The sequence below is a fragment of the Homo sapiens genome, chromosome 1 (assembly GCF_000001405.40).
Source record: "Homo sapiens chromosome 1, GRCh38.p14 Primary Assembly".
In the NCBI taxonomy this organism is placed as follows: domain Eukaryota; kingdom Metazoa; phylum Chordata; class Mammalia; order Primates; family Hominidae; genus Homo; species Homo sapiens.
In genome coordinates, this window is record NC_000001.11 from 177,006,788 (window position 1) to 177,019,379 (window position 12,592).

The following is a 12,592-nucleotide window of genomic DNA, read 5'->3' on the forward strand; positions in this document are numbered from 1 at the left end:
CTCCTCTGGGGGTAGACAGCACTGTAGGTGGACTCTCATCACCACGGGGAGGAGGTGGGATGAAGATGTATCCCTCAGTCTTGGGAAAGCGGGATGCAGAGAAGCAGGCTGTCAAACATAGACTGTCCATCTCCCATCTACAGCTGATCCCTGACTTTCAGAGTATTATATGCTCTTCACATTGCTCTCTCTTTTAAATCTTTATTTAACCAACTGACTTGTCTCCAACACCCAGCGGTTACTATGAAGCTTGACTACCAGCTATGTGACCTTGGGCAAGTTACTTTACCTCTCTGGCTCTCCCTTTCCCAATTAATAAAAGGTGCCAGGTGCGGTGGTTCACGCTTGTAATCTCAGCCACTTTGGGAGGCTGAGGCGGGTGGATCACCTGAGGTCAGGAGTTTAAGACCAGCCTGACCAACATGGAGAAACCCTGTCTCTACTAAAAATACAAAATGAGCCGGGCGTGATGGCACATGCCTTAATCTCAGCTACTCAGGAGGCTGAGGCAGGAGAATCCCTTGAACCTGGGAGGTGAAGGTTGCGTGAGCCAAGATAGCACCATTGCACTCCAGCCTGGGCAACAAGAGTGAAATGCCGTCTCAAAAAAAAAATTAATAAAATGCAAGGATCTTTAAAGCTGCACTCAGCCACTTGTCTACAAGCTCATTCTTATTTTCATTGGAAAAAGTTAACTGATAAAAGGATGCCTTCTCGAGGCGTCTGGAGACTCCATGTCTTGCTTAAGAAGTGTTCTTAAGTCTGGCTGTGCTTCAGAAACATCTGTGGGAGCTTGTCAAATGTACAGATTCTGGGCCCTCTCCCAGACTTGTGAAATTTAAATCTCTGGGGGTAGACGTCTGAAATCAGAAGATACTTAGGTAGCTGCTCTATGAACCGGCATGCACGAGTCACTCATTAGGGCACATTTTGTTCTTTTATCATCCTGAGTAACCAAGGTTACAATTGCCTCTGAGAGGGGAGCAAAGGGCATCATTCAAAATGACCACAGTTCAGCACTAGTTCATCAAAGGCCTTTGTGCAAATTAGAAAAAAGTACCCATCTGGACAGATGTGCCCCTTCTCTCAGAGTTGGCTTGTCTTAGCAAGCATGGGTTGGGTTTTAGCCTTCCATTGCTGGAGAGATGTCCTCTTAGCCTGATGTCCTCTACAAAGAACAGTGTATCACTGTATTCAGCTGACTGACCACAAGGGTTTTGTGAAAAATCGGTCAAGTTACATGTTTTCGCTTGAGAAAATCCCTGAGAAGGAGGTGCAGAGTTTCCCAAGCCAACTGGAGGGGACGATTCTGTTAAGTCTGTCTGTGGAGGAAATCCTGGTAGATGGAGATTTACTTTCAAGCACTCAGTTCCTGCCTGCTCACCCAAGGAAGGGTTTTTTTGTTTTTTTCCTTTTAAGGGACAATGTTTCTGCTAGAATCAGGTTTCAGCAGGGCACCTCTAGAGAGAAGAAACAGAACTTTAGGTTTAATTCCAAGAGCCCCTTTGGTCTGTTGGACACAGAAAAACGTAAGAGAAAAGGTAGTGGCATTTTCATTGACTCCTAGGGGAAGAGGAGAAGATAAAAGTAAGAGAGAGAGAAAGAGAGGAAGAGAGAGAGGAGAGGAAGGGGGGGTGGAGAGGAAGACAGAGAGGAAGAGGGAGAGGGAGAGGAAGAGAGAGAGAGAGGGAGAGGAAGAGAGAGAGGGAGACAGGAAGAGAGAGCGGGAGATAGGAAGAGGGAGAGGAAGAGAGAGAGGGAGAGGAAGAGCAAGAGAGGGAGGAAGAGAGAGAAAGAAGAAGGAGGAGGAAGAGAAGAAGAAGGAGGAGGAAGAGAAGAAGAAGGAGGAGGAGGAAGAGGAGAAGGAGGATGAATAAAATAAACTGCTGAATGAATATGCTGGAAACCCTTATTAGCAATAAGTGATAATGATGAGAGAGAAAGAGAGAGAGAGGAAGAAGAATTAAAAGAGAGCTAATGGGAAGATAATCCCATTTGTGGATGGCAAAGCAATGACAGAAGCTGGGCACAGACAATGAAGTCTGGGCTGGAGGGCAGGAAACGAGGGCACCCAGAGATAAAGAAACAGCCATAGTCTGGCCAGCAAATCTTGTTTGAGAGGTCGGATGAAGGTGAACGGGACAGCAGTGACATGGAAACCAGCAAAGGGATGGGAGAAGTAACAGCCAGATGATGAGCTAGAAATAGGCAAAGAGTCAGAAATTTCCTATGTCACAGCAGACTGTCTGACCCCACCTGAGTCACCTCAGAAAAGACTTTGGGCTGGTCAAAGAAACAAGACATGGCCTAAGACCTGGGCTTGGAATCACAGCTACAGCTCAACATGCCAGTCACTGCCCTAAGATGGTCTAAGCATTTACACTTTGATGACAGCTGAGAGGAGGTTCTTGCTCAGTTTTAGGTGGACAGGAGAAGTCAGGATTGATTTTGGATCTTTTTGAATAATTAGTGAAGGCTGGTCTCACCTCATCCTAGAACTCAGAGGCAAAGGTATCCTCTCCACCAGATGTGGTCTTTGTCTTTTTAGTGGTCTCTAAGGAACTGTTAAGAATGACATCCTTCAGGCAGGACAAAATAAAAACACCTCCTGTCAAGGACATGTTTTGAGCAAGACAGAGGAGCTGAGGCCAGTCATGATGAACACAGTCCTCATTCTTGGCTTCAAGTGGGAACTGGCTCCTATGGTTTGGGACATTTGCTCCTTATAAAGATATAGATTCCCTAAGCAGTCACTCCTGAGCGGGTGAGAAGTAGGAAGAAGTTGCAGAAATAGAAGGGAAGACAGTATGCACCTGGGACAATGAGAATGACATATTAAGGCAGCATGGGCCATGTATGAGTAAGTGAATGTGTGTGTGCCTGTGTGCACCTACTTGGCATGTCATGGTAAGTGCATTGCCTCCAGAGCAGGCAGTGTAAGGAAGAAGTACTCTGATGGGCAGGACCATTCCTGACAACAGCTTCTAACACCTTGGAGAAACACCTGTTCATTTTCCACAGCAGGTCACTTCCCATCTCATGAATGATCGCTCTGTCTCCATCCTTCAGCATTGAAATCTAGTGATATTTTATATCTCTCTAGTGGGGAATCTCCTTGGTGTTGCCCTCTGTATCTGAGATGCCAGAATAAGAAATCAGGCTATTATTTACTGGGAATCCTCACATGCATGAATTTAACCTAATTGTAATCTTCTGAAAATTGTATCTAGAGGCCCTTGGGTGTACTTTTAATTTAACAAAAAAACATGATTGTAGTCTTTCGTAATCATTTCCAAAGTAGCTACATAAATCTGTTTTTCCTCCTCTAATATTTTCATGTAAATCAATCTCTCTTGCCTCCTCCACCCTTGTTTATTGTTTTCAATTCTCTTCTGTGAAAATTTCCAATTTGTCCTTGTTGTCCTAGCAAACAAATATCAAACACAGACTTTAATAGTCTGTGTTTAATAGTCTGTGTCTATGCAGCCACAGGGATAGCAGGCCAAGGAGTTATTCAGTGAATTCATACAGGGGAGACAGAAGACAAGGTAAGCCACTGTGCAGGGCTAAGACCTGTCCACCCTGGGTCCTGTGCCTGGCAGCAGGGTCACAAGGGATGTTGTGGCAGGGAATGATTGATTTTGTTGCCAACCTCAAAGACCAAGGCTGTAACCTCAAACATTCCATGTTCTTTTAATAACCCATTAGAAATCTGTCATCTGTGACTTTGTTTAAATCTTTCTGAAGCTATTTTTACTCTTAGTGAATAGGACCTTCTTGTGCACTGAATTCAATGATCTTGTAATTTGCCATCTGGACCCTGTCACCTGGCTGAGCTGAAGTGACTAGCTTCACCACTAAGACCAACACACAAATGTTTCAACCTGCCTCATTTCTGCCTGAGCAATTGTGGCAGAACTGGAGTCACCAGGAAATGATTGCAACCTCCTCGATTCACATGCTTTCTGCATATGGTCTCCAATTCTCTGCCATTCTTGGCTGTTTGGTCTTGACTTTTATCTACAAGACAATTTTAGGAATATGTTTTACTGAGATAATCCAGATAAATAAAAGTCTAGCTAACCCCAAGAGGTTTCGTGTTTGTTTCTTTGCTTTTTAGGATCATTTAAATTTAATATGAAAGGTCCCAAAAAAGTAAAGTGTAGTGAGAGTACACCTGGAACGTCTCCCTCCCTCCTGCTAGCGGGTCTAGTATGGGAGCTTTAATGTCCACAGCCTCAGTAAACAAGACCTCTTTGCTATCTAGTCTTTTGCCACCTTACCAGCCTCTTATCCTCTCTCTGTAAAGTGAATTCTTATGCTACATTGAGCTTTTTATTTACCATTCCTGAAAAAACCATGTTTCTCATGTCTCCGTACCTTTCTGCATGCTAGTTCCCTTTGCTTAGAATGATCTTTGTTATCTGGCAAGTAGAACAGTTCACAATCCAAATTCTCCATGAAACCCTATTCCATATTTTTGACCTCACATAAGTCACCCCTTAAATTTCAATCCCACAGACTTTCGCTCACATCTTTATTTTAGTAAGTATTAGATTTCATTGCAATTACTTGTTACTCTTTCAACTGTCTACGTAGACTGTTAGTTCTTCCAGAGCAGGAACCCATCTTCTTCTATAAATAACAACCTAGCATACCCTGGACCATAATAGGTAATGGGGTGAATATCTGTTGAAAACACAAATGAGTAGGAGAATAAATGATGGAGTGGTGAGAGAATTACTATAAACAAACTGGCTTCCTGTCATGCACATACACACACACACACACACAAACACACACATACCATACAATCACACATATACCACATGTGCACACATAATGCACAGGCACCACTCACACACACACACACACCACACACACACATGCATGCACACACACACATACACCACACACATGCATACACACATGCACACACATGCGTGCACACACACAAACACACACACATGCACATTCAGGACCAGGAAACTAGAAGGAGGCAGAGGCTGGGTAAAGTTGCAGGTGCCACTCCTCCACCTCAAAAAAAAAATCAATTTGTAACTTCTTATATTAGTGTCCTTGATCAATTTTCTTCCTTGTCTGAAAGTCATAAAGGCTTATTGCTACTTTTCTCCTGGTACATTGACCTTGATACTTCACTAAAGAATTTGTTTTAACTATTTGGCCTAGGATTTGGTTGTTCTACTTCAAAGGAATGTTCAGCTATTTTAATGTACGCAATACAAGAATATGAAGTGAAAACCATTCACACATGGGCTGCTTACCTCCACTTCAGGAGAATTAAATAAAATATTCAGGAAAATCAGACATACCATTGATTTTTCCATAATACCCCAATATGTATCATTAGTTGGCAATCTGTCAGACAGTTTTCAATTCGAGTGACAGTCTTCATGTTCAAACAAATTTCGATTAATTTTGTGAGAATCATTTAAAGAAACATGGCATCGGATCCCTGATTTAAATCAAGATGTATGGCATCTTATACTTTTCACTTACCTTGTCATTTTATGAGGAAAAATACAGTCATTTGTCTGGCGCTTTTTTAATACTGAGTACATATAAACTCACACTGCTTATCACTCCTGGTTCCATTATCCTCAAGGTACTCACTTTTTTCCTCCTCCTAACAGTTGCTCCATTATTTTATTAGTGTCCAAAATGAGACCTCATAGACAGTGATGATCATAGAATAATGGAAATTAAAGATGGAAATGACAGATTAGGTCTTCTTGTCTATTTCCTGGGGCTAATGTTTCTGTCAGTCTATAACTCACTGCTTTAGCCTGTCTTGTTTTAAATGACACTTATGCTGGGACCTCAAACATTTCCCCTGAGACTCTTGTCTACATCCTAAGACTGTCTCTACATACAGCCAGAGGGAATGATGAAGGCTTATGCAATTATCAAGTGAAGTCAGGCCCATCCTCACATGATCTGTCTACAAGGCTAGAGATGTGGAGGCTTGAGTGATTAACCACCAAATCCAGTCACTACAGCGAGCCAGCCTGGATCACTCAGGGCAGAAGTGAAATATTTTGTCATTGTTTTCTCCAGCAGCAAGTCAGCAGCTAAGAGACAGAGATTGGTTATCCATCACTTTTTTACACTATTTTAATCAGTAAGAACCACAGTCCACCGCAATTCTTAGCCATCCCATTAGCTAAAATTTTGGATCCCCAGAAACTATGCAAACATTTCAGAGGCAAAGATGGTAAGGGGACTCCATAGAATGTAAATAGCCAGTGGTATTACTCATTCATATCCCACTGCACATCTATCAGCCAAACCTTCTGCCCTTCTCCCCAATCTTTCAATAACAGGCTGCCTCATATGTAGCTGCCCTTCTACAAACACCTTCCTCTAAAATTTGTGGGCTCTCTCTGTGATATGATCTCAAATTCTGCCAAAACTGAGCAATCCTTCATTTTCACGAACAGAAAAATTTCATGGCGTTTTGACTTCCCCAAGTTTTCTGACCTGTGACTCAGATTTCCTTTCCCCAACTGCATTTTCTCTTGTCCTTATCCCCCAACTTCAACCTGTTCCAGAACATTTGCCCTCTCCTAACATCTATGGGCATCTATCATGCCTTGACTTAGTCATCAGCTGGCTAAGTTCTCAGAGTTGAGTTCTTCTATCCCTTTATCATAAATCACTCCCTTGGGCTCTTCAATCATTTTTATTGCTCTTCTCCAAACGCTCACCCATTTGTCACCATATTTATTGCTTTGAGAGTCCAGAACTACATTCAGTATTCTAGGTTTGGTCTCATCAGAATCACACGGAAGGGGCAGATCATTGACCTCAGGGATGTGAGTCCTCCATGGCGATGTCTGAAATGACATTGGTTTCTTTTTTCCACCTGTCAAGCTGCAAACACATATCTAATTTGCAATCCAAGCAACCATTCTGAGATGGCTTTTGCCTTGATTTCTTTCTAGTTTTTCCTGTTCCATTGATTGCTATTATTAGTTCGCATTTATTGATCCCCTTCTCCTCCCACCCTCCTTCAGGACCCAGCCAATGCAGAAAGTTAACTCTCAACATCTAAAGGAAACTAAAAAGTTGCTTTTAAAAAGTAATAGAGGGCAGGGCACAGTGGCTCATGCCAGTAAACCCAGCACTTTGGGAGGCTGAGGTGGGAGGATGGCTTGAGGCCAGGAGTTGGATGTTACTGTGAGCTATGATCATGCCACTACACTCCAGCCTGGGCAACAAAGCAAGACAATGTCTCAATTAAAAAAAAAAAAAAGGCAATAGAAAGTGAATAGTGGGATGCTTGCATAATGTGAATTTACTTAATGCCACTGAATTGTATACTTAAAAATGGTTAAATGACACATTGTATGTTATATATTTTTTATCCCAATAAAACATTCCAAAATGTAAAAAATAAAAACAAAAAAGGAATACATGAGATAACTACTTTGTCCCACTCGTGTGTGTCTAGGGGAAAACAAAAGTCTCATTGGGAAATGGTAATTGGGGATCAAGCAAAAATACTCTCTTATTCAATACAGAGTACTTCCTGAGTCTCTGTATGTCACCCCTGCTGACAGTCCTGGTGAAAACAAATTTCCACTCATGTCAGTCTTGCAAAGCTCATCAGGCTCTGGGAGAGCTACATTGGAGTCTCTGTGGCTTCATGTGTCTCCAACAAAATCATCAGCTAAATTCTGCCTGTGGAATCCTCATGGCTGGTGGTGGTGTGAAAAGGAAGAGAGGGACAGCTTGATTTTCAGATCCCAGCTGGAAGCTGCAGGGCTGCGAGTCAGAGGCTCGTAAATGGAGAAAAAGATGATATAGACGTCACTGGAATGGTATAAATATGGAAAGGCATAGTGACATTTTTACCCATTTGCTGTTCAGAATATAGCCACCCTTTAGCTCTATTCCTCTCCATGCAGTTGCTCCACGTCATGTCTGTGTAAGGAGCAGTGATATGTGGGAACCAGCTAAGTCGTCATGCCCTCACTTACCCCTGGTTTGTCCCCCATTCGTTCCGAATGCAAAGGTGCTTATGTACTGGATCCTTCATGTAGCCTTCATAGCAGAGGCATTCCCCTTAGAAGCAGGGTAAGGAGGAAGAAAGAGAAACATGAAGGAATTGATTAACATGTCTGTGTTTGTAAAAATTAACATGAAATAGTCAGGGTAAACTCTTACTCTGATATTAGCATGAATGAGACAGTAAGTTCCATTATGTCATATACTCCCCTCTCCACCACTCACATAAATGAATACTCCAACCAATCTCTCCCTTCTCCAGTGTGTGATACTTTTCATAGAAGAGGAATCTAGTATTTAGAAAGCATCTATTATATATGTTCTGTAAGCACAAAGACCAACAATTCTTTGAGGAAAAGGACTTTTTCATCTTTATTTTCTCAATGCCCAGTATACTACAAGGCACACAGTAGATGAATAATAATGTTTAAAGACTGCATAAGTGAATTATTTCACCAAATATTTCTAGGAATCTTGGAAAGTAGGTATTATTGGCTATGTTATGCTAATGGGAAAAACAGCCTTGAGAAAATTGAAGGCTTGTAGACAGCTTGTAAGTGACAGAGTTAATGTTTGAGCCTATGTCTGTCTGACTCCAGACCTTTTTCTCCCACCATGCCAGGCTGCTAGCTCATAGAACAACTACTATATGCACAGGAGGCCTCTTACATCTATTATGGTTTTAAAGGAACTCTGGGTTTTAGCTTTTAAGTAAAAATGATTAATTATCTGGGAGTGGGTCACCAGAAGAATCATCTACAATTCCACATTTATTTAGGATATCACTACATTTCATTATAATTTGTTATTCCATTAGTATACCAAGGGACCCATGAATCTTCTGGAATTTCATGCAAAACTGTATATGTGTGTATATGCATTTTTTTTGAGGCAGGGTCCCATAACATTCATCTTATTTACAAGTAAATCCAAGATCCCCAAAAGATTAAGAATCATTGCTCTATTTACTACCGATTTTGAAGAAAATTTTTGCTGCTTCATTATGTTAATAATTCTTTATGCAATGAGATGTAGCCCAAACTACTGAGGCCAGTTACACTACAACACTAGTTCCTACTATTTAAATGTCTGCTTAATTTATACCTTGTGAAAGAACAAAGTGTGACTTTCCAAAATTTGTAAATAACAAAGGTGCCATGCCCTAGTGAAATGATGGGCATACCATTTCTTTATCTCCCCAGAAAGAAACACTTTAAGATGATATAAATAGAATAATAGCTTTGAGTGCTATTTTCTCTTTTCTGAAGATAAAATCCAGTAAAAACGAAGTGAAGGGGCCTCACAGTTAAGGGGGAAGGTATTGGATAGGGCCTGAGCAAGAGCTTTTTTTAGCATCTTAGCTTAGCCATTCATTTCAAGATTGACCTACAAGCGGCTGTCCATCAGAGCCTCACTACCAGATCACACCATTTTTGTCCCCCACAGCAGTTCAGCTCAATGTTCTGAGAAGTAGAGTGAAAACCTCTTCATTTGTAAAAAAAAAAAAAAAAAAGCCCACAGGGAGTATTTGATCAGGACATTGTCTCCTGCATGGTGAATTCTGGCTTCTACATGGGCTGGATCCACAGTAGGTTCAAGTTTATTGGCTTCAGTGGTACTGAGCTATATCTAGAAATGGTCAGGGAGCTCTGAGCCAAAAATAGAAAAACACAGCTTTAAATTAGATGGTTGACGATAAGGTTTGTGGATGAAGGCTGTTTATTTGAGAAAAGGAAAGATAAAGAAGGCAACTACTGGGGAGGGCAAAAGAAGAGAGTACCAGGAGCCTGGCTTCATTGAGAAGGCTTCACACCTTCTCAATTCCAAAGAAAGCACGGATGCTAGACTATAAGATACATAGGGCAGAAACAAGGAACGAGGTTAGTCTTCCCCCATATGAGTAGGTCTTTGACAAATACTGTGCAGTAGAAAATAAATTAATTAAAGGATTTGCCCTATATTTACAGATATTTACACCTCACCCCCAAGATGCAGATATGTAAGCCAGTTAATAGGTCAAGGTCTCAAATATACTTTTCCTTTCGGGAAAGACACTCTCCTGGTTGTCCTTCTGTGGACAATTAGCCATGGGCATATTTAGAAGCAGGAAGTAACCTTAGGAGTTTGTCAAAGCCATCACTCTGACTCTTAGAATGGTCTCGGCTAGACGCCTTGCCTAGAATTAGGGATTGACAAAAATGGGAGTTCTCTTTCACATTTGATATCTAGTTACCACAAAACATATAAAAATAAATGCAGTAACAACTCAAAGTTCAAGCCGAGCCTTATTTTCCTAATGACAGCAATACCTACCATTTGTATAGCACATTTACCTTCTGAAATTGCCTTCGTAGTCATTATCTCCTTATGAGGCTTCCGTCACTCATTACAATGTGGGGACATACTGCCGACAACCAATAAAGCTTTCCTCCACATAATGGCAGATGCAGCCCAAAGTCCAAGAAACAGAGAAATTTTCAAACACATCATGCTAGGTTTTGGGGATCTCCAAAATTTGCCTCTCACAGGATCCTTATTTCTGGAACCCACCAAGCATTCCTCGTCTGTATTCCTCCACAAAACCAGTTTGGCCATCTCCAACGAAAGGATTTCAGACTTGATGGGGGAAGTTGCTATGGCAACCAACTGCTAAATCTTGACTTTAAGAGGGGTTTCGTGAAAGCACAGGCTCCGACTGTTAGCTGTGAATTTTAAAGACCCCACAAGGGTGTTGGATGCCCTCCTAAGCTAGAAGTGTTACAGTCTCTGCATCTGCTGTGACAGATGGTGGGAACGCATGAGGCGCCGACTCCATGGTGGTGTACATAGGACTCCAACGGAGAGACGTGTCATGGTACGGAGGAGAGCCCAGCCAGACAGAGTGTGCCCTGCAGGAGCACTCATGCAACCACACTGTGAAAAAGAAAAGGCCCTGAAAGGTAGTTGGTGCAGGGTCTGGAGACAGCTGCACTTGATCTGTGCTTGGTACCCTGACAGTAGACGCCTCGAGGTACCTTGGATGATGGACAGTGCTTTTGGTCACTTCCCATTCTACAGCTGAAGGACTGAGGCATAAATCTCATTCAAAGATTAAAGAAAAACCTTGAAGCTAGGGGTCCTCAGACATGGCTGGGCTCACCATAAGTTCTCCATGAGGAAAATGCAGATTAAGGCCAAATGCCCTCAACCGCTTCTATGCTTCAGGAAGGGGTTGGCTTTTATGAAATAAAATTGGGTGTGCTCCTTCTAAAAAGGGAAATCTTTGTAAGATATCTGACTTGGGTATTATCTAATTGTTTGATCTCCCTTCCCAGCAGAGACATCGAAAGGAGGCAAGTCCAGGGTCAAATAGCCCCAAGCAACTCTGGGAAGGGAGTCAGAGGGAAGTGTGCCAAAAGAACATCCTAAAGGAAGGTGCTTTAATGGAGTTACAGAACGGAGTGTAGCATGTGTTAGCAATCCAGGTATCAGGAACAAAATCGGGACTGAGCTACCCTGCCAAATTAGGTAAAAATCCAAACCAACCAATCAGCCAACCAACCAACCAACAAACAAACAAAAACAGGGAAGGTTAGAGAGAGAGACAGCGGTTCAGAGCAAGCAAAGAAGAGGGCAGCTGGTTTGAGTCTGGGAAGTGGGTCGAATGCCCCTCAACAGGTTTACACATTTCCACATGGTTGGGTCTGGCCTATGGAAAGACCTGGGACAGAAGAGATTTCAGTGAACGTCTTGGATAAAGATTAAAACTTAATTTAGCTGGGAAGCCTATGCTCCTTGCAGAACCATAAAAGCTACATATCTTGAAAAGGGCAATGAGGGGTCTGTGGCCAGGATTGATGGGGGCTGTGAAATAAAGCAGGTGTGTGAAGCCAACAGCTGTCCATATGGCAGAATGAAGGCCAGGGAGAGAGGAAAGAGAAAGGTCACTGAAACCAGGTAGTCTGTGTCTCCATCAAAAACACAAAACCAAAACAATCAAACAAACATACAACCATAACAAAAAAACCCTTGCAAAGCGCAGGGAAAGTCAACCTCTGGCTGGATCCAGGGAGCATTAAGCCATGCAGCCCTAGTGTTTTGCTGTTAGCCCCACTTAACCAGAGGCACACCTGGGGTTACAAACCTGGGGACATATGGGAGAGAATGTCAGGGTGCAGTTGGCAAAGGGGGCTAACAGCAAAGCATCAGGGGGCTGGGGCTCTGCTGCAGCCACATAGAAGTGAAACAATTCTAAGCCTTCTGTCTTAGTTCCTTTCCTGCAGCTTGAGCAGTGGGGACAGGTTTGAATAATGGTCAGGAGTGTGAGTTCTGAGTCAGGCAGCCTGAGTTTGAAGTCCAGCTAGGTCATTAACTAGGTAAGTGATCTTGGGCAGATAAGTCAACAACTCTGTAAAATGGGAATAAGAGTACCATCTACTTCATAGTGTTACAGTGAAGCTCCAATTACGTAATCTAAGTAAAGCACAATGCTTGACACACAGTGAGCTCTCAAACATCACCTATCCTTATTTTTACCGAAAACCATTTTTTTCCTAGGTATTTCCCACTGGTCTCCCCTGAC

General features: G+C 42.4%; 1 protein-coding gene across 7 annotated transcripts in view; it reads right to left on the bottom strand.

Moving 5' to 3' along the window:
• The window catches only part of ASTN1 (astrotactin 1), a 307,392-nt gene that overhangs the window by 149,467 nt on the left and 145,333 nt on the right, over window positions 1–12,592 (bottom strand). For all 7 annotated transcript variants that reach the window (XR_001737193.3, XR_921796.4, NM_001286164.2 and 4 more), the window contains exon 8: window positions 8,004–8,088. Coding sequence is in view for 5 of the 7 variants with exons in the window: in NM_001286164.2 (NP_001273093.1) it covers window positions 8,004–8,088 (85 nt within the window). In the remaining 2 variants the exon portion in view is untranslated. The remainder of the gene's footprint in view (window positions 1–8,003; window positions 8,089–12,592) is intronic.